We start from the raw sequence: 21,069 nt of genomic DNA, 5'->3' as shown, positions 1-21,069 counted from the left end.
CTTGTCCCAGGTTGGGTCAGTGAGGCGGGCTGTCCCCCAGGCAGCCCCTCCTCACCTGCACCGTCCCAGCCCCGGCTGGCGTCTGCCTGAGCTTGTTGCCTCGGCCCCCACCTGACCCCAACACACTGATAAGACCTCAGACTGCCAAACATCGTTAACTTCTTTGCCTTTCTAGACTTCTCAGCCTGTCCTTTTCCCGACCCCAGTCTGCAGGGTCGCCTGGAGGTGCGTCTGTGCTTTCCTAGGCAGTGGACTCCACCACACCACTGTTGTCTTTCGCCATACACTCCTCCACCCCAGCCCCCACCCTTCCTTCAGGCTTCTCGACTGCAGCAAACTTTCTGTGACACCCAGGTGGTCTAACAGTGTCCTCTCACCCTCTACCCCACCACAACTCACTTGCCTGCCTGGACACTGACTGCCTCAGAAGAGCTCCAGGAAACAGTAAAACTAAACAGAAAGAAAGGGGACATTGAGGACAGGTGCAGTGGCACCCACCAGGGCGGGCAGAAGGTCAACATGATTTCAGAAATTGAAGCTTAAAATCCTTCCCCGCTCTACCCTGAATATGAGGGGAAGAGGGAAGAACTGAGTTGTCCACTCAGACTGTTACTATTAAAACATATTCTCAGCTTCTTATTTCCCTTTGCTTTTAAAGATCTTGCCCACAAATGGGATCAGACTGATAGGAGACAGCATCTACACTGAAACAACCAGTTGATGAGAAGCATCAGGATGATTTTGGTTTCCCCCTGGTATCATGGAGTGTAGACAAAGCCCATGTGAGTTAAGGCCCCAGGTTTGCAGCCCATCTGTTCAGGGTGGAGGGAGCTGCCATTAGAAATCCGGTCTGTCTTGCTGCAGCTGCTTGCTTCGGGCACCCCCACTGCCACCACCGTGCAACACTAGCTCCACCCTTAGATTCTTCCCCAGCTCTTTCCCCACACTCTGGAAGACAAGCTGCAGACAGAGAAGCAGAGTGGAAGCATGGGGAATGGCATCCATGCACACCCAAGGGCACTGGTACCTGCAAAGGAGGGTGGAAATGTCTGCTGTGGAGATGGGAGCTCTTCCTTCCTGGAAGGACCACCTCCCTTTCTAGACAGGAGCAGACATCTTAAGCACAAGTGTTCAGTTTACACTAACTCAGGCAATTGTTTGGACAAATCATTTTCTCACCTGAAATAACCTGATAATGGGACCAAAAAGTTAAATGTTGTTCAGTCAGAAATAAGATAAAGCCCCTCAGGCCATAGCTGGCAGAAGTCTTTTGGCAAAATAATAATAATAAATCATTATCTGAATAATTTTTTTGTTTTTGTTTTTTGAGACAGACTCACTGTGTCATCCAGGCTGGAGTGCAGTGGGTGCTCACAGATGTGATCATAGCTCTGCAGCCTCCACCTCCTGGGTTTGAGCAATCCTCCCACCTCAGCCTCCCAAGTGGCTGGACTACATGCATGTGCCATCACCCCAGCTAATATTTTTTGTTTTGTTAGTCAGGCTGGTCTTAACTCCTGGCTTCAAGTGATCCTTCAGCCTCGGCCTCCCAAAGTGCTAGGATTACAGGCGTGAGCCACCGCACCAGGCCATAAATGATTTTTAAATAAAAACTTAAAAATTCAATTTACCAAATCCTGTACCCCATGTCCAATAATTCTGAGGGGGTAAAATTTAATAACAAAACATTGGGGGAAAGTCTACCTCTATTTCAAACTTTAAACGCTGTGGTGAGGCATTTGAGGCTGACTGAAGTCCCTTCCATCTTGGAAGCTGCTGGCAAGTTCCTAGACACAGAGCATGCTCAGGAAATGTGAGTGATTTCCTCTCCTGCATTAGGTAGACCAGGCTCGGAGCCATGGAACTCTGTAAGGCCGACTTCTCTCTTTGCCTTTCCTCTAAAAATCTGCCTTCATTTTTTGGCCGTTTCTTGTCTGTGCTCCAGGTAGGATAAATGGGCACAAACCATTCTGTCTTCCAAGTAATTCGTGGAAGTGGCTGGAATGCGGGATTGAGGCATAAACCCCGGCAAAATGCTGGCGATGGCGCCTTTTCACACCAGGGGAAATTCGGTGCGATTGAAAGGGCTGCTTTTGCGACCAAGACTGGTAATGCGGAGCCCCCACCTGGAGACTTTGGGGCGATTGGCTGAGCGCGGGGGTCCGGAGAAAGATGCGGTGCTTCTCCAGAGCACGAGAGTAGCCTCTGCGGCCCCTAGAATCGATCCCTTCGACCCCTGGCTTTCCTACCTGGCCCCCAACTCCTGCCCCGCCAGCCCTCCAGACCCAGCCTAGTCCTTACTGTCCCACTCCTAAGCAGCCGCCTGTCCTCCAAGGAACATACATAAGCTCATGGCGATCACTAGGTCCCAGGAGCTGGGAATGGGGACCAGCTGCTTTCTCTTAGTTCACTGGGAACTGGAGGCCAAGGCAATCGACACCCCTCTGCCTGACCGACACCCCTCTGCTTGGGAGGAAGGGGTAATGTCAACAAGCCAGGTGCCTGGAGGGGCTACAGCTTAGACCCTAGCTTACTTTCCTTCTAGTGGTTTTCCGTGAGGCTCAGGCATGGGAGGCTGATGACCTGCGGAGGGGAGTTTGCCCTAGGCTGAGGCTTAGAGCGAAAGAGGCTGCCGGGGGTCGGGGTGGGGATGCGAGGACTGAGGTCTTTGTTCTGCAGTGATCCAGCCTTTGCCATCCCGGCCCAATGTGGAACTTTTCCGTGTCTTCTAACCTTAAAGAGAGTCAGAGATGGCGAAGAAATGATTAAGAAACAAAACAAACCTCTCCTCATTTTTTTCAATAAGGTCGGAATTCCGTAAGAGAAAAAAATCTAAGCTGACAATAGTCGACATTCGGCATCCCCTCCATTTTGTCCTCCATCTCTAGGAAAAATTGTCTGGAAAATTCCAATAAGTATAGACGGAGAGACTTTACATTAGTCACGAGCATAACTTTTATTGACAAAACCAAACCGAAACACAATCTTACATTTTAGCAAAATACCATGAAAACAAATTATGAGAACAACGAAACACAAAATACGATAAAAACAAATTACGAGAACAATGAAAAACAACAGAAAATGGGAAAACATGAACAAAGTTTTCTGGAAAAGAACATACAAATTGCTTGTAATTCTGCAAATATGTTCAACCACTTCAAAATTTTAAAGTGCACAAGTCCTTTGAGATCATCCATTTCTAACAATATATCATACAGATATACTTGCATATACACAGAATAGTGTATATTGTGTGCACCACCAGAAAAAAGAAGAAAATAAAATTGGAAACAATCTAAATATTTCTCAATTGTCATCTAATTACATAAATTAAGATATATTCAGAAAACGAAATGGAACCATTATAAAGGAAGAGGCAGTAGTAAAGATATAAAATCGTCATTAAGTTGCACTAAGTTTTTAAAATAAAAGGCGAAATATAAAGCTCGGTATGTGGAATGTTGTCATTTGTCTTAAAAATTTTTATTTATATACATTTCTCTAAGGATACTATGGGAATCGTAGTTGCTTTTTGGAAGGGAAGCTGGGATAAGAGGTGAGAGGAAGACCTATTTTACTTTTTAATGTATGTCCCCAATGTAACTTTTGACTCTTTCCTTTAGCATACATTACCTATTTTTTCTTTTTCTTTATTTTATTAAAAAAAATAGAAACTGGGGTTCTCACTCTAATGCCCAGGCAGGTCTCTAACTCCTGGGCTCAAGAGATGCTCCCGTCTCAGCCTCCCAAAGTGCTGGGATTACAGTTGTAAGCCACTACACCGGCCCCTATTTTTTAAAGATAGATTAAAATCGGGAAATTATTTTAGTAGTGTTTGTTTTTAAATATGTAGGTAATAAAACTACTATGGATTTTAAATTAATTACATTTCTGCTTATTAAGGTCTGTTCTACATACTCGTTATCACAACTAAAAGGCAGAGTTTTCTCAGATAATTAAAACCAATAAAAATCAGACTGCCGACTTAATAATTCGTTTTTTAAAATAAAAACTTTTTTTCTGAGGCGAGCTTTCAGAGCTTAATTCAACAAGAATGATACCAGTTGCTTAAGCTGGTAGCCCGGGTTAAAAAAAAATTGTTGGCGGGGGGAATAGATACTAATTTCTTTTTAGCTTGCAGAGCAGCTCTATACAGCTGAGATCGACTGAAGAGTGAAGAGGAGAAATTATTTGCACCATTCACACCAAAAACTAAGCCAAACTTTAATGGTTTGTTTCCAAGTTGAAACCTGTTTGTTGTTGCTGGGCTTCCCGAGTTCTCCAGGTCTTTCCGACAGCGTAGATCTTCGGACCTTTTCGCCCTGGGACCCGGTGGAGCCCGCTTTAGGAGATCCTGTTTCGGCGGCGACTTGGCCGGCGGGAGTCAATGCGCGACACTGGGGCTGCTTCTGGGTGGACGCCTTTGGAGGAACCGAGGGGGCCCTGGGAATGGAGCATGGGCCTAGATGGCATTCACCATACCCCGATGGGAATAGATACTCCTGGAGGGCAATGCCTCCCTCTGCGCCCCTCTGCGCCCCGCTTCCGCCCGGGTAGTCGATGGGTGACCGAGCAGCCGGAGGAAGGAAGTGGGGAGACCCTCTCTCTCCAGACCCACACCCCCGACCGCTGGGCCCCGCTTCGGGCCATCTCGCCGGATTGGACTGCCTCGCGTGCATTACTCAAAACACAGTCAGCCCTCTGTGCCTGCGTCGGTTTTTGGGGATTTGGTGAGGAAGCCCGCGGGCCGAGAACTCTCAGCTCTCTCCACGGAGCTGGAGGCCCAGGAGAAACACGGGGCGGGAGCGGGGAGGCGGCTGGAGGCCCCTGTGGGTCCGCTGCTTCCCGCTGGACGGCGGCGCGGGCTCTCGGCGGCGCGGGCTCTTGATGTCCCTGGAGCGACCTGAGACAGACTCCAACCCACGCAGGAGAAACACGGGTCTTGGGTCTGGGCCCCTACCCACAAATTTGCCCGAATTCCTTTCCTCCCCGGACAATAGCCTCAGCTCTCTTCTGAGTCCTCCACAGTAAAAATATAGAGAAACGGAGACATGGAAGTATAAAGAGATATGCCTGAACCGGGTCAAGAAGGGAATCTTGGGGATGTTTTTGTAGTCAGCAGGAGCCTTGGCGACCCTGGAGGATCAATCGTGATGGGGAACAGGCAGATAAGGATGGCCCAAGGTGGGGGTGCGGGGCATCTATGCCAGGAGAGGAGTTGCAGGATGGACAGAGAGATCCCTCTCCCCCGGAGTCCCCAGAAGGAGCCCCGGGAAGGGGGACTCTGACTTGAGAACCAGTAAGCGAACTTCCCAGGCTTCTGGTGTCTCCTCAAAACGCAGCCTCTCAGAAGCCAAAATGATGCAAACATCGTGGAATTATAAAGCGACTGATTTACTCCCCCCCGGAACCAGCAAACCCTCCGCTTTCCTTCTTTCTCCATTTCACTGATGGCAGCATTTCACCTCCTCCACTCCCTTCCTGGGGATTCTGCTGTCCCTCATCAGTCCCTCCAAAGAAACTACTAAAAGAAGGAAAGACCACTGTCAGCCAAGCACGGCCCTTGGAATCTTGTTTCTCAATCCCCCATTCCACTCTCTTTCCCCTGGCGGGGGGCCCTCTGACTGATGTGGCTAAATGGAGGGGTGGGGGGTTGGGGCGGAGATTAGAATCTGAGTATTTGCCCAAATGCTTCAGCCTTCTTTGTTGTGAATATAGCTGTGGCTCTGTCACATCAAACAAGTAGAGATAACCAAGAATAAGACTAATGATGAAAATGAAAATAAAAATAAAAACTTCCCTATACAGGCTACCAAACACACGCACACCACACACACACACACACACACACACACACACACACAAACGTGTAGGCTGTCTGGGGCTTTAAAAATGTGGGTGGGTCTCTAGTCCTGATTCTGGGCCTATAACTTGATGAAAGAGATGAGATTAGAGCTGATAAAACTTCTGGATCACTCTAGATTGTTTTGTTTACAAGCAACAAACCAAAACACTTCCCTCTCAATATTCAATCGGTAGAGGTGAGTAATTGAGAGATTTTCCTGCACTGACAGGTCGATCAGCTCTTGGCCGGGAGAGAAGGGGCTGGGGTCTACTCTTAGCTAAGGGCAAGGGGACTTGACCAGCTCCTTACAGGAGCTAACAACTCAGGGAAAGTGAAAATTCCAGCCAATCAACTATTGTTTGGTCGAAGACAAGCCAAACAATGGCTCTGGCTGATTTCTCCCAGAATTGGCAGGGCTGGCTGGTTATTTTGTCATCCTAGAAAGCCAACCTAGCAGGTGCTGAGCCGAGCCAGGTATACCTGTGTTAAAACAAGTTCTGGATAATCCCAGCCTCCACTACCCTCCTATCCAGCTCTCTGGGACTTCCCATCAGCTCTGCTCTGCGTGCCCTGAAAGTCCCTGATTTCTTTAACTACAATTTTCATCCTTTTTCTTTTCCCTATGTGAGCTCCCATCTGTCCCTCTGTCCCTCTGCCTGTCTGTCACAGACTTCTTCCATTTCTCTGGAGTGAGGGTTCTCTGGATTCAATACCTCTGGTCTGGCAAAGGAATTAACCCATCTCTGGTTAACTGGCTCCTTCAAAGCCTGGATCAGCTCATCTGCGTGTAAGGACGCAGCTGCTGTTGCTCCGTCACTGTGTCTTTTTGCAGGTGGGTGCTTGTGGGCACTGTTTCGCATGGCACTGTTTCGGATGGCACTGTTTCAGATGCCTAGTGGGGCAGATAAAGTTGTCTTCATGGGGAAAGTGACCCTCCACGGCCTGCATTTATTAAATTCCCACATACTTTGAAACTACATCACATTTATTTCCTTCCTCCTGGAACTGAAAGTTCAAGTAGGTCAGAGAAAGGAAGAAAATTTTATTTTTTTTCAAAAGTTTAGAGTCCCTAGGCCTGCCCATGCATGAAAAAGAAATTCCAGGCTGAGACTCTAGCTGAGACACAGACTTTATCCACTGTTTGGAAGGCCCAGAGGAACTTCAGGGACCAGTCAGGACAGAGTTCCAGGGTCTGCAGGGAGCTGAGGGGGTATTTGGAATCTAGCCTCTCTTTTACCTAGAAAAAAAAATGTCTGGCTTCCAGGTCAAGAAAGGGAATTAAAGGAGGCAAAAGGGAAAAGAAAACCAGGAAGAAAAAAAGCTGGAGGCTTCCTCCGCTCAGAACTGGCTTAGTGCAGGGCCCCTAGCAGAGCCTTCCACTTCCAACCCAGGGGTCAGACAAAAACTGAGAGAAAATAAACCATCCCGTTCTTCCTTCAGTTTCTCCTTCCTTCCTTCGCCAAAAAAAATCAGATCTTACCCTCTTTTCTGGGGCAGGAACCCAGGTGCAATGCCAGAGTCTCCCTTTCCTTCTCTGGCTGAACTCTGGGTAGGGGGCTCACAGTCTCCCTTGGATCCCTTCCCCTCCCCCACCCAACCCCCTCCTCTGCATTGCCTGGGTCTGGAGAAGGCACCTGGCAAACAGGTGGAGCTATGTAGAGTAGCCAGATGCACTCCCTCACCATTTCCAGATCCTGTTTACATGAACAGACTCAGCCCCCAACCCTACCATCCCAAAATGGTTTCAAAAATGTAGACTCCCTAATGCTGCAGACCAAGAGGCTCTGCAGTGTTAATGGCTCTTTGCGGGAGACTCACACCCATTCTGAACAGAAGCCTGTTTTGAAGATATGGGGCCTGGAGTTTTTAAGTTACACAGAAGGGAATATAAATCCCAGACAAGAGCAATTCCACGCTGTACAGGAGAGACCTTGAGATGTGAGATGAACATGGATCGTGGGTGATAAAGACCAAATTTCAGAGGTCCTGGCAGTAGGAGGAGCTTCAGCTGCCAGGTTAGCTGTAGAAAAACTCAGCATCAATTTCTATTCTGCAATGAGCTGGCTTCACATATCCTTTGCAGATACTGCAAAACAAATGACTAAAATATATAAATGTATATGTGTGTATACACGTATACATATATCTTATATATATACTATACATATAAAAACACCAGATGTTCTAAGAAATAAACCTCATCAAATCAGCAGTTGAGAAAACAAGACCCAGTTTCTTAGTACCCCTAGCCAGCCAAGTGAGCTCTCTTTAAACTGAAGTCACCCTTACATTTTGCCCCAAGACCCTCAAAGGATAAATATAAGTTTTGTGTAAGTCTCTGGAGAGGATAGCTCGCAGCCAGTTACTTAGAATGGATTATGTGAGATTCAGTTTACGAGTGCACATTGCATTTCACACATGAGTCACCTTGAATAACCCAATAATTAATTAAAACCAGGTCCTGCAGGGGAGAATTTATTATATTCCCTGGCTTCTTACGAGCTAGGTGTAGTCTGGAAATGAAAAATGTGAGGCCTCTTCAATAACGTCTGCACTGCATTCTGCACTCACGGAGTCACCCTCTCACCAGGTCCCAGAGAACAAAGTTTTGGGCAAGAGAGACTTCAGCTTAGAAGGGTAAAGCAGGTTTATTGCAGCCTGGTTGGGGCCCCTTCAGCTTCTGTAACCAGATTGGTCAGTGTTTCTTGAAATTCCTCTTGGAGAGAAGTTGGGGATTTGAGTAGTTGGTGCACCAAAGCTAGGAGCCCCAGATTGGCCGGGCGCGGTAGCTCACACCTGTAATTCCAGCACTTTGGGAGGTGGAGGCAGGCAGATCACCTGAGATCAGGAGTTCCAGACCACCCTGGTCAACATGGTGAAACCCTACCTCTACTAAAAATACAAAAATTAGCCAGGCATGGAGTCACGCGCCTGTAATCCCAGCTACTCGGGAGGCTGAGGCAGGAGAATCGCTTGAACCTGGGAGGTGGAGGTTACAGTGAGCTGCCGTTGCACTCCAGCCTGGGCGACAGAGCAAGATTCCATCTAAAAAAAAAAAGTTAGGGGTGTGCGCACCGGGAGAGGGGGACTCAGGGCTGAGATAAAGCCAGGCTCCAGGCTCCTTGGTGGTTCCTGGGGAAGAGGAGTGGGCATCCTGGTACTCTTCCCCATGCTAGGATGTCACAGCTTCTCCAGTGGGTCACCATCCAGCCCAGGTTTCTTCCTAGCTTGAGGGATGTGGGGCGTGTTATGGCTTTTTATACACAAGAGAACAAGTTTGTCTGCTGGTCCCTCTTCCAACCAAAATCTTCACCTTCTCCTCAAATACCACCAACTGTGAGAAAAACAATACTTTGTTATGTAGGCATCACACTCTTTGTAGAATCTCAATTTCCCTCATCTTGATTGATTGTCTCCAAGCAGCCCTGTAAGGAAGTATGGGCAGAGAGGATCACTTCCATTTTACAAATGAGAAGACCGAGGGCTGCAGAGAGGAGATGGCCAGTCCAAGGACACACAGCTTGAGCACAAGCCAGAGCAGAGACAGCAGTTCAGGCTTTCCACCTCAGTGGTACCCTAAAGGCAGGAAGGAGTGAGAGATGGCAGAGCTAGACTGGCCACTCCACCTCTGAAACAGACCATGTTCTTTCTTTGGTTTCCTTGGGAAGCATTCAGGCCTCTGGGTGCATCCCCAAGGCAGGAAATGAACAGTCCTGCCTCTAGAGCAGCAATCTTGCCTTTAGATCTGGAGCTGTGTATCCAGTGTTTGAAACTTACATAATCCAAAGACCCACCAGAGGATCCCATTCTTGGCTGCCTCCAGTGAGAGAAGGAATGAGGTCTCTCACTCCAAGAGCAATGAGGGGACCAAAGGGAGTCAGAAAGTGACATAGTGGGTGGGCAGGGGAGGGCACTGCTTATCCCAGCTCTCCTTTCTTTGGCAGGGAGTGGAGGGAAGGATGTAGCTCTCCTGTCCATATCTGGCTGCCACAGCCAGAGGACAAGTGAGGAAGAAACCTGTAAGAATCAGTTGTTTGGTTCAACATAGAGCAGTCATCTTTTCTGAGGATGTCCAATACCTTTTGAGAACTGGGTTGGCCCAGGTTTTTAAATAAAGTAATGGCATGAAAAATGGATTGGGAGCAATTGTTATAGGTTATAAGACAGTTGAGAGACATCAAGCAAATGTAATGTATGAACTTTGTTTAGATCCTGACTTAAACTAACTGTAAAAAGACATTTTTGAGAAAACTTAGGAAATTCAAACATGGATAGTATTAAGGAATTATTCTCAATTTTGTCCTGTGTGACAATCACATAAAGGTTATATATAAAAAAAGCAAAAGAAGAGTGGCTTACGCCCATAATCCCAACACTTCAAAAGGCCAAGGTTGGAGGATCCCTTGAGGCCAGGAGTTTAGAGACCAGCCTGGGCAACAAGCGAGACCTTGTCTCTACAAAAAATAAAATAAAACTAGGCTGGGCGCAGTGGCTCATGCCTATAATCCCACCACTTTGGGAAGCCAAAGAGGCAGATCACTTGAACAAGGGAGTTTGAGACCCATCTGGGAACCCCCGTCTCGACCAAAAAAAAAAAAATGTACCCAGGCATGGTAGCACATGCCTGTAGTCCTGTAGTCCTAGGCGTGGGATCCCTTGAGCCCAGGAGTTCAAGGCTTCAGTGACACTGCACTCCTGCCTGGGTGACAGAGCAAGATCCATCTCTAAAAACAAAAAAAAATTTTTTTAAACCTGTTAAAGATTCAAACTGAAGAATTTTGGAACAAAAAAAAAGAAAAAAAAAGAAAAGAAGTCTGGGATTTGCTTTAAAATACTCCAGAAAGAAGGCTGAGCCCGGTGCTCATCATAACTTTGGGAGGCCAAGGTGGGTGGATCACGAGGTCAGGAGATGGAGACCATCCTGGCTAACAAGGTGAAACCCTGTCTCTACTAAAAATACAAAAAATTAGCCAGGTGTGGTGGTGGGCGCCTGTAGTCCCAGCTACTTGGGAGGCAGAGTGAGACTCTGTCTCAAAAAAACAAAACAAAACAAAACAAAACGAAACAAAAAACCTCCAGAAAGAAATGCAATAAGATGGGCTATGAGTTGATTATTGTTGAAGCTGAGTGATAGGTATGAGGGGTTGAATTACACTTTTTTGTTTACTTTTCTGTATCTGTAAAATTTGCCATTAGAAAACAAATCAATAGGCTGGGCACGGTGGCTCACACCTGTAATCCCAGCACTTTGGGAGGCTGTGGCGGGTGGATCACGAGGTCAGGGGTTCAAGACCAGCCTGACCAACATGGTGAAACCCTGTCTCTACTAAAAATACAAGAATTAGCCAGGCATGGTGATGTGTGCCTATAATCCCAACTACTCAGGAGGCTGAGGCAGGAGAATCGCTTGAACTCGGGAGGCGAAGGTTGCAGTGAGCCGAGATCACGCCACCACACTCCAGCCTGGGCAACAGAGCGAGACTCCGTCTCAAGAAAAAGAAAAGAATAAAGCAGTAGGCTCATGTCCTAAAAAACCACACATGTACACCAATGTTCACCCTCAATTTTAAAGGGTGAGGCTTTGAGAGCCACCCATAAAATCAAATTCAGAATCCTCAGTGCCCACCAAATACCCATTTTTTTCCCCCATAGAAGGGACAGGCTTGGAAGGTGTTTTGGCACCAGGTTGACCCAACCATGCTTGTTGACCCAAACATGACAGTTTTCTGCTGTCAGTGTGGGTAACAGAGCCATTAGAGGAGTTTGAGCCTCCCACAATTCAACTCTAGGTGAACATTTGCCAGGTATAGCTCCTTTGTTACTCATGTGGACTCAGCCTCCAAAGTAAAACAGGGTGGGAGGAATGGGGTGGGAGGAAGAGGACAGAAATTGGTTCCCACTTTTGTAGTTTTAGAAGTCATGGGGGGCACTGATAAAAAAGATGACAGTGTATTAAAGGGTTTTCTTCATTTTATTTCATTTTTTGAGACGGAGTCTCACTCTGTCACCCAAGCTGGAGTGCAGTGGCACGATCTTGGCTCACTGCAACCTCTGCCACCCGGGTTCAAGCAATTCTCCTGCCTTAGCCTCCCGAGTGGCTGGGACAACAGGCATATGCCACCACGCCCGGCTAATTTATTTATTTATTTATTTATTTTTGTAGAGATGGGGTTTCACCATGTTGGCCAGGCTGGACTTGAACTCCTGACCTCAAGGATCCACCTGCCTCGGCCTCCCAAAATGCTGAGATTATAGGCTTGAGCCACCACTCCCAGCCGGGTTTCTTTATTTTAGAGTTCATGTTTTGATTTTTCCAAATTCCTTAATTTTTCCCTTTTCCCTTTAATAATTTCCCAAATATCTTAAGTCTGTTTTTAGTATTAGTTTGAGATACTAATGAGATATAATGAAATTTATTTCCATTTTAAAATTTGTCATGGTCGGTTGCAGTGGCTCATGCCTGTCGTCCCAGCACTTTGGGAGGCTGAGGTGGAAGGGTCGCTTGAGCTCAGCAGTTTGAGACCAGCCTGGGTAACATGGCGAGACCTCGTCTCTATAAAAAATTTTAAAATTAGCTGGGCGTGGTGGTAAGTGCCTGTGGTCCCAGCTACTGAGGGGACTGAAGTGGGAGGATTGCTTGAGCTCGGGAGGTCGAGGCTGCAGTGAGTCGAGATCGCGCCAATGCACTCCAGGCTAGGTGAGGGAATGAGACCCTGTGTCAAAATAAAATAAAATAAAATAAAATAAAATAAAATAAAATAAAATAAAAATGTGTCAACGATTTGTGTTTGGAGAGGGAAGAGAAGTGAAAATATCAGAATCAGGATTTGGTGCCATAAAGCCTCGATTTGCCTCTAGAAGTTGGACAAATTATCTCCTAAACCTCAGCTTTCTTGTTTTCTTTTACTTTTTTGAGACTGGTTCTCCCTCTGTCTCCCTGGCTGGAGTGCAGCAGCGCAATCACGGCTCACTGCACCATCCAACTTCGGATTCAACAGAAATTCAGGGTTCAAGCCAGGCTGATCTGGAACTCCTGGGCTCAAGCGATCCGCCGGCCTTGGCCTCCCAAAGTGCTGGGACTGCAGGCGTGAGCCACCGTCCCGGCTCAGTTCTCTTATCTACAAAACGGAAGTAACAATTTCCCCCCACTCCTGCCCCGTTCTTTTGTTGTGCGGATTAAATAAAAGGCGTCTACAGGGTACTTAAAGTACCCTGCACTTCGAAGACTTTCCAAAGGGACTGCCCCAAGGACCCCTGGAGGGCTATGGGATTAGAGATGTAGGGGTCTGCGCGGCCCGAGGTGCTGGCCACAGTGGCGTCAGGGAGTGCAGCTTCTCAGTCCCGGATCAAGAAGGCGGCAGCTCTCCACCCGCCAACGCACTAAGCGGGTTTTCGCCTTGAGGTACGACCTGCGCTCAGGGTGAGGATCGGTGGAGGGCAGGTGCACCTACCAGCATAGAGGAGATCTTTGCGTGAGTAGGAGGAAGGGACTGCAAGAAGACTCCCCAGCTCTCTTGCTGCGCTGGCTGGACCGTTAAAGACCTGACCCGCGGGCCGCAGGGCGCTTTACCATCCAGGAGCTGGGGAGTAAACCCCGGCCGGTGAGGTGACTCAGTATTGGGATTACTGAAAAATCTGCCCGACCAGGTGTGTTTACACACGCAGAAGGAAGGAAAGAATGTCTCTGGGACAAAAAGGGGGAAAATTCTTTAGGCTGGCCTCTAGTCTTGATGAAGAGTTAGTGGGTTCCCCTTAATTCCTATGAATTCTCCCACCTGAGAGCGTCCCACCTTGCCCGCTTGACCTGCACGGATCTCGGGCAGTGCAAGGCCGGGGAGGATGGGCTGGTCGGCGTCAGTCTGTGCTTTCCCTCGTCCAAAGCTTGGCCTGCACTCCCAGGGCAGGTGATTCCCGAGGCTAGAAAAACCATGCAGATGGGGGTGGAGGATAAAGGGGCAAAGGAAGCAGAATCTACCGGTAGACTGGTGTGGGGGATTCCAATTCCAGGGCAGAGAGCACCCCTGCCCCCACAATCTCTATCTGCATCCCCCACCCAAGGCAGCTGGAGATCTGGGCTGGGTCTGGGCCGGACAGGTTATTGAGAGGGTGGAGGGCATGGAGAGACCAGGGTTTGCTTCCCATGGTTCTTCCCCAGCTCCCCAACCTGTCTCTGGGGCTAAGCACCATTTCTAGGGAAAGTTTCCAGGTTCACCTCGAAATTAAGAAACGGGGAGCCCTGGCCTTGCCTCACAGAGCTAGACCAGCAGTTTTTCAGCCTGGGAGGGGCTACCCTTGTGACCAAGCTTTGAGTCCTTAGGACTTAGTGGACATTGAGCTGGAACCAGAACAACATCCTGAATGTGTGAGCTTCCACATACACAAGTCCCGGACTGCCTGACTTTTTGGATTCTCCTGGGGCAGGCATGGAGAACAGTCAGGGCATCACCAGAAACTCTAAAACTGCATCCAGCTGCCATAGCTGTCTGCCTTTTGTATTCTTTATTTCTTCTCCTGCTCCCACTTCAGTAGCTCAGAGCTGCCTGGTACCACAGAACTGGCCATGGGTTGCCTGAGGTCATTTCTCTCTGAATTGGGCAAGACAGCAAACTTGCCAAGGCATCTGCCACCCAGCTACCCAAGTACAAAGCTTGCTAGCACTGCATGATCTCCAAGGATTCTCCTAACCCCAAACACCAACTGACTAGTTTGGGGAGCCAGGGAATTTGGAGCTCTCTGCTCTTTAAGAGAAGGGAAAGGTGGGGAGCTCTACATATCCCCTAAGCAGAGAGCCCTAATTAAGGATTTCATAGAAGGATTCTCCTTCCTTCCTTCTTTCCTTCCTTCCTTCTTTTCTTTTCTTTCTTTTTCTTTCTTTCTCTCTTTCTCTCTCTCCCTTTCTCTCTCTTCCTCTCTCTCTTTCTGTCTCTCTTTCTTTCCCTTCCTTCCTCTTTCTTTCTTTCTTTCTTTCTCTCTTTCTCTCTTTCGAAGGAGTCCCTCTCAGTTGCCCAGGCTGGAGTGCAGTGGCACCATCTTGGATCACTGCAACCTCCACCTCCTGGATTCAAGCGATTCTCGTGCCTCAGCCTCCCAAGTTGCTGAGATTACAGGCACCCACCACCACGCCTAGCTAATTCTTTGTATTTTTTAGTAGAGATGGAGTTTCACCAAGTTGGCCAGACTGGTCTTGAACTCCTGACCTCAGGTGATCCACCCGCCTCGGCCTCCCAAAGTGCTGGGATTACATGCTTGAGCCACTGCGCCCGGCCAGGAGGAAGCTTTTCTAAGCTTCTAAGCTTCCCCTGGTGTCAGTTTCAACACAGTAGCCTCCAGAATTGGAATCTCCTCTCAAATCCAAGCCCTACCTATGAGCAACATGAGGGGAGAGCAAAGATCTTCATTGTCTCTTCAGCAGTGGCTAGAGTCCCTTCCAATTATGAACAAAACCATAGACGTTACAGGGACCAAATAGAAAAAAAAAAAACCTCCGAGTAATTTTCCCTTTTCTTTTTTTTTTTCTTTTTCTTTCTTTTTTCTTTTCTTTTTCTTTTTCTTTTTTTTTTTGAGACAGGGTCTCACTCTGTCACCAAGGCTGGAGAGCAGTGGCACAGTCTCGGCTCACTGTAGCTTCAACCTCCCAGGTTCAAGTGATCCTCTCGCCTCAGCCTCCCAAGTAGCTGGGACTACAGGCGTGTGCCACCACACTGGGCTATTTTTTGTAGAGATGGGGTTTCGCCATGTTGCCCAGGCTGGTCTCGAAATCCTGAGTTCAAGTGATCCTCCCACCTCGGCCTTCCTAAGTGCATGATTTTACAATTTAAAGTGAAGAGCATTTTACTTTCCCTCTCAGAACTCTTAGAAAACCTCTGAAGGAGTAAAGGGAAAGAATGATCAGTTTAAGTTCAAGTGATTCAGAGCCAAGGCAGACTAAAAGCCCAGAGCTCTGTTCCAATCCCAAATCCCACTTTGATGAGGAGTCCTATGTGTATGGCCCGATATCACTTCTGGACTAGTAGGGTCAATGCAGACAGGCTGCAGACCATCAGCCAGACTTCTCCAGTCTCAGAAGGTGTCAGGATTTGGGGTAAATGGCTGGCCCAGAACCTTGAGGGCCTGGCTAACATGGACTTTCCCCAGGTTAGAGTCCTCAGGGCAGTAACTTGGAACTGCCCAATGCTCATCTCAAGCTGGGGCTGAGATTCAGAAAGGCAGATACTCTTGGAGCAGTGTTATTTTCAAGCCTTCATTGAGCCCCAAGAGGGTAGTCTTTTGTGGCACTCAGGAGTGGGAACCCATGAGCACCATGAATTGGATAGGACTTGGTAGGGATGAATTATGGACCATTTTTTTCCTCCACCTTGTGTGTCTGTGTGTGTGCGAAATGCCTGCCTTCTTCCTCTCCCAACTTTGTTTCTTGGAACAGAGATCTTAGTGGGAAGACAGGGGAAAGGCTTTTGCTGTAGGGATTGGGGTTGAGGGGACAGTGAGGAGGGAGGTAGGCCACAAGATGGTCACGTTCTGGGTTTTTGGAAGGATCCCAGGACTTTCATTAAGGTAAATGGGGGAATCAAAGTAAGAAATCAAATCTTTCAAACTGTACTTTCCCCTAGGCGTTAATGCTACAGCTCCACTTCAGGCCAAATAGGTGGGTTTAGGACTTGAGGGGCCAGGGCCTTGGTGCTGACATTCCTCTTGATTTAAGAAATGAAGACTCGATCTTTATCTCTGGCAGGGTCTACACTAGCAGTCCTGAGAGTAGCCAGCATTTTCCTAATAGTTATATCATCAACACCCACATTCCCTGAAAGGAAAAACAAAGTGGAGATGGTGGGAGAGCTTGAAGTGACTCAAATTGCTTTCTTCAATTTGCAGATAGGTTTTTTGATACATTCCTAATTCCTGAGTCCTATCCAGTATCCCAGGGGTTGGAACAAAGAAAGCCCAGTCTCCCATGACCCTGGAAGTCGTTGAAACCCCTAAAGACTCTAATTGTGGGTCCCCATTTGAGGATCCCATTCCTATTCCTTTACTTTCAAGTGTCTCTGTGCTGGGTGGCTGGAGGGATTTATAGGGAAAGTAGGGAGGAGGTGAACTCCCACACAGTTTGGTCCCCTTTAATGAGCCACTGCAGAATTTACACTGTGGGGCTGGCTGCTCCAACTGAGTCAGAACATGACAGTTGCCTCCACAGAGGCTGGGCTCCCTCAAAGCACTAATAACCGTGCCTGCACTAGACACGCATGAAAAATCCGTGGCAGCTTCCTGGACTCTTTCTTGTTCCTTCTACAGTTTTCTTCCCTCTCCTTCCGGTAAAGCTCCCTTCCCTCCTGCTGCCCGTCGTCACTCTTCTGTGCAAGGTGAACACTGGCAGGGATTCAAAGGTCCGCTGGTCCAGTCCTTCCCTCCTTACACAGTGCAGATAGGAAAACTGAGGCACAGAGAGGGCAACTGACTTGGTCCAGCACACTGAGCTAGAACAGAACCTTACATGAGACTCTGCATTGCTCTGCAGTGCAGCCACCTAGGACCAGACTTCCTAATGGTTGGGGTCTGATCTGGGCTGTTTCTCCGAATTGGGTAACTCCCCATTAAAGCCCAGGTTTGGAGAAGGGGGCTGGGGACTCTGGGGCCAGCCAGTCTCCCTACTCAGCACGTGTGATGCGTGATAGGCAAGAACAGCTGGCTTGTTCCCCTAGAGCTGCCGGACCAGAGGAAGGGAGACTCTTGGTCTGTGTTCAGTGACCCTCATATTTGACCCCCTTCCTCCCTTTCTCCTCCCTCCCTCCTCTTTGGACCCCACTCACAGTTCTCTGGGCTTGGCTAGGCCCTCCTCCGGTTTCTAGGCGGCGTCAGGGCGCGCAGCAGCTGCCGTGGCCGCCCTGTTGTTGGAGCAAGCCTCTCCCTTCAGCTGTCCATCCTTCGATTCCTCCTCAGATCCATTTGTCCCATGGTTTTGATAGCTGGCTCCCTCAGCCCTGGCCTCAGAGGCACTTAGGCTTATCCCGAGAGGGTTCTAATTCCTGAGGATGTCGCAGGGCTGACTGGGTTGGAGAAGGAAGGAGGAGGTGAGAGGGGCCTCCTCCTGACCAGCCATGCCTCCATCCTCTGAGCTCTTAGCTCTGGGATCCCTCTGTCAAGTTGTCCAAAAGATTTTCCTCTAAGGCCAGGAGAGGCCCCGCTTGACTTCGTTTCAGGGCGAAAGGCCGGAGTCACCCTTCATCTCCAGCGGGTGCTGTTCTAGCCTCAGGCAGAGCTCCAGGGCAGGGCTCCGCGAACCCACCAGCCACACTAGGCCGTCCTCCAGGCCGTCCCCTGCCAAGCGCAGGCTCCGGCCGCTGAGAGCTATAGCCCCGCAGGCCCTTTCCAGACTTCAGAGAAGAACAATGGAAAAACTGGGCGAGAGCGCTGCAAAGGAAAAACGTGTGTGGCGGGCGGAGGAAGGGAAGTAAAACGGAGATGAGAGAAAGAAAAAAGAAATAGAGAAGAGAGAGGAAAAAAAAGGAAGGAGGAAGGAAAAATGAGAAAACTGAAGAAGGAAAAATGAGGAAGAAAAAGCAAACAAAGAGAAAAATAGTGTAAGTGAGATGAAAGATAGGGAGAAAAGTACTAAAGGGAAAATGAAGATAGAGCAAGGGGTGGGTGGCGGAGCCAGAGAGTGAGCAATAACAAGAAAAGGAAAGAAAGAAATCAAGAAAGAACACACAAAAAGCAAGATAACTGAAATGGAAGGAAGCAAAGGCGGTGAGAAAAACACAAATATAAAAAGAAAAGAAGATACCAAGCCTAAGACAGAGGAGAGAAAATGCAGACGGAAGGAAAAGATGAAAAGAGGAAGGAAAGAAAAGAGCACACCTCAATTAGGCCATTTTCATAAAATCGAGAGGAGCCGGGCGACCCCAAGCAGTTCAGCCAGACCTGCGCGGCCGGCGGGACCGTGGAGCCAACCTTTCGGGAGAGGGGAGCGTCGCGCTGCAGAGAAATCCTCTCTATTCATCACCACCGACCTGACGGCCGCCATCGTCGCCGCCACAGAGTTTGCTCCAGTTGGGAGAACGAAGGCAGCGGGCGCTCACTTTACAAAAAAATAAAACGTAGTTTAGCAAATGCCCACTAGTGCGACGGGTGGGCGCCTCCCGCCCCCACCCCTCGTTGGCGGGTCCCTAGCCTGGGTGGGGGCGGGAGCTGACACCGAGGTGCCAAGTCCCCGTTGCCGGAACCCCCGGGGGCGCGGCGGCCGCGCTCAAAGGCCGGGCTGTAAAGGTCACAGGCTGTCTGTGGGGCCGAGCTGAATGGGCTCCTGGAGGTAAACAGACTCTTAACTTTCAACTTGGCCTTTACCTTCCTGGAGGTGTCTGGCGGGTATGTAAAGGAGCACGCTGAGGCTTTCAGCGCTTTTGGCTGGGTCAGTAAAGAAAGCTGGGGGAGGCTCCGGGCTCCCGGAGGGTCTGCCAGGAGGCTCCCAGCAGGACACAAAGGCATCTGTGGGGTTAGGGGAAGGCCAGGCTCAGCCCAGTCAGTCTGGAAGATCAGGACGCCTGGGTTGTGCAGGGACTTCCCCGCTGAACCCATGTAGAGCCCCAGGGAGGACTTGGAGGCTCTGAGCCTCAGTTTCCCGATGCGAGAACTATGTAGCTTACGCAGGGCTGAGGGGGCAAGTGAGAAGTGACTGACACTCTTTAGGGCAACTGTCCTTTTCAGGTAAAAGCAGGTTGCTTGTAATTCATTAGAAACAGAAACACATGGAGGAATACAAATAGAGCTCATATTTATTCAGATTGTGAAATGCTTTTATGTGCAAAATCTCATTATATCATCACAGTATGTGAGGAAAGAATTATTATCCATATTTTACAGATAAGGAGACTTAATCTTACTTTACCTGATGCCGGTTGAGATCTATGATAGGTCATGGGCAGATGCACACACATACCTATGTACAGGAAATAGGGGCACATACCCAAGTGTTAATAAATATGAGATCCAAAGCTGGGTGTGGTGGCTCATGCCTGTAATCCCAGCGCATTGGGAGGCCAAGACAGGGGGATCACTTGAGGCCAGGAGTTCGAAACCAGTCTGACCAACACAGCAAAACCCTGTCTCTACTAAAAATATAGAAAATTAGCTGGGCCATAGTGGCACACACCTGTAATCCCAGCTACTCAGGAGGCTGAGGCATGAGAATCACTTGAACCTGGGAGGCGGAGGTTGCAGTGAGCTGAGATTGTACAATTGCACTCCAGCCTGGGTGACAGAGTGAGACTCTGTCTCAAAATAAATGAAATGAAATGAAAGAAAAATGAGATCCAGAACTGTTCCCTGGGATCTAGCAGATGCTAAATAAATTGTAAAGCAAATAAAACAAGCACTATAGAATTTATTTGTATTGAAATGTATCCATTTACAGGAGGGTCTCCAGCACAGCTGGTGACCTTCACTCCCGCCAAGTTTAAGTTAACCATCTCTGCATTCCACAACACTGCAGTTACATGCACTTGGCTACTTATTTCAATGAACATGGATAAGAATGCTATACATCCAAAAGCACAGTTTCAGGAAGTGTTGCAATGAATTAAAAAAATTTTTGTTTTTAATTATTTTCCTTAACATTTGAGATATAGCTGATATGCAATAAAGTGCAGAAATACCAAGTGTATAGCTTGATGAATTTTCACAGTGAACAAAGTCTTGTAACTAGCAGACAGATTGAGATGGAGACTATTTCCAGCACCCCAGAAGGCTTCTTTATGTCCTTTTCCAGTCAGGAGACCTCTCCCCATGCCAATCTCTATTCTGACCTCTATCACTATACCATAATTTTGCTTGTCATTGAACTGCATAGAAATGTAGAAACTGAATCATACAAAAGTTACTCTTTTGTGTCTGGCTTCTTTCATCCACATATCTGTGATTCATCAATGTTGTGTGTAGTAGTGGTTTATTCTTTTTCAAATGGCTGTGTAGTACTTCATTGTATAATTATACTGTGCTTTCTTTATTCATGCTACTGCTGATAGACTTTTGGGTTGTTTCTAGTTTTGAGCTACTATATTTTGATTTCATTATGAGATGGGGTATCCCTATTATCCCTATTACCCCTGTTGCCCAGGCTGGTTTTTTTTTTTTTTTTTTTTTTTTTTTTTTTTTTTGAGATGGAGTCTTGCTCTGTCACCCAGGCTGGAGTGCAGTGGCACGATCTCGGCTCACTGCAAACTCTGCCTTCCAAA

The 21,069-nt window shown here is 48.1% G+C and overlaps 1 long non-coding RNA gene across 1 annotated transcript; it reads right to left on the bottom strand.

Annotated features, from left to right (window-relative positions):
* Positions 1-8,840: 8,840 nt before the first annotated feature.
* On the bottom strand, positions 8,841-19,323 carry LOC105371811 (uncharacterized). Its single transcript, XR_934823.2, has 3 exons — positions 19,184-19,323; positions 17,650-18,917; positions 8,841-9,182 (listed from the first exon to the last, which is right to left on the bottom strand). It is a non-coding gene; the product is annotated as an uncharacterized LOC105371811 (long non-coding RNA).

Source organism: Homo sapiens, chromosome 17, assembly GCF_000001405.40.
Source record: "Homo sapiens chromosome 17, GRCh38.p14 Primary Assembly".
Taxonomy (NCBI): Eukaryota; Metazoa; Chordata; class Mammalia; order Primates; family Hominidae; genus Homo; species Homo sapiens.
This window is presented reverse-complemented; position numbering and strand designations above follow the sequence as displayed.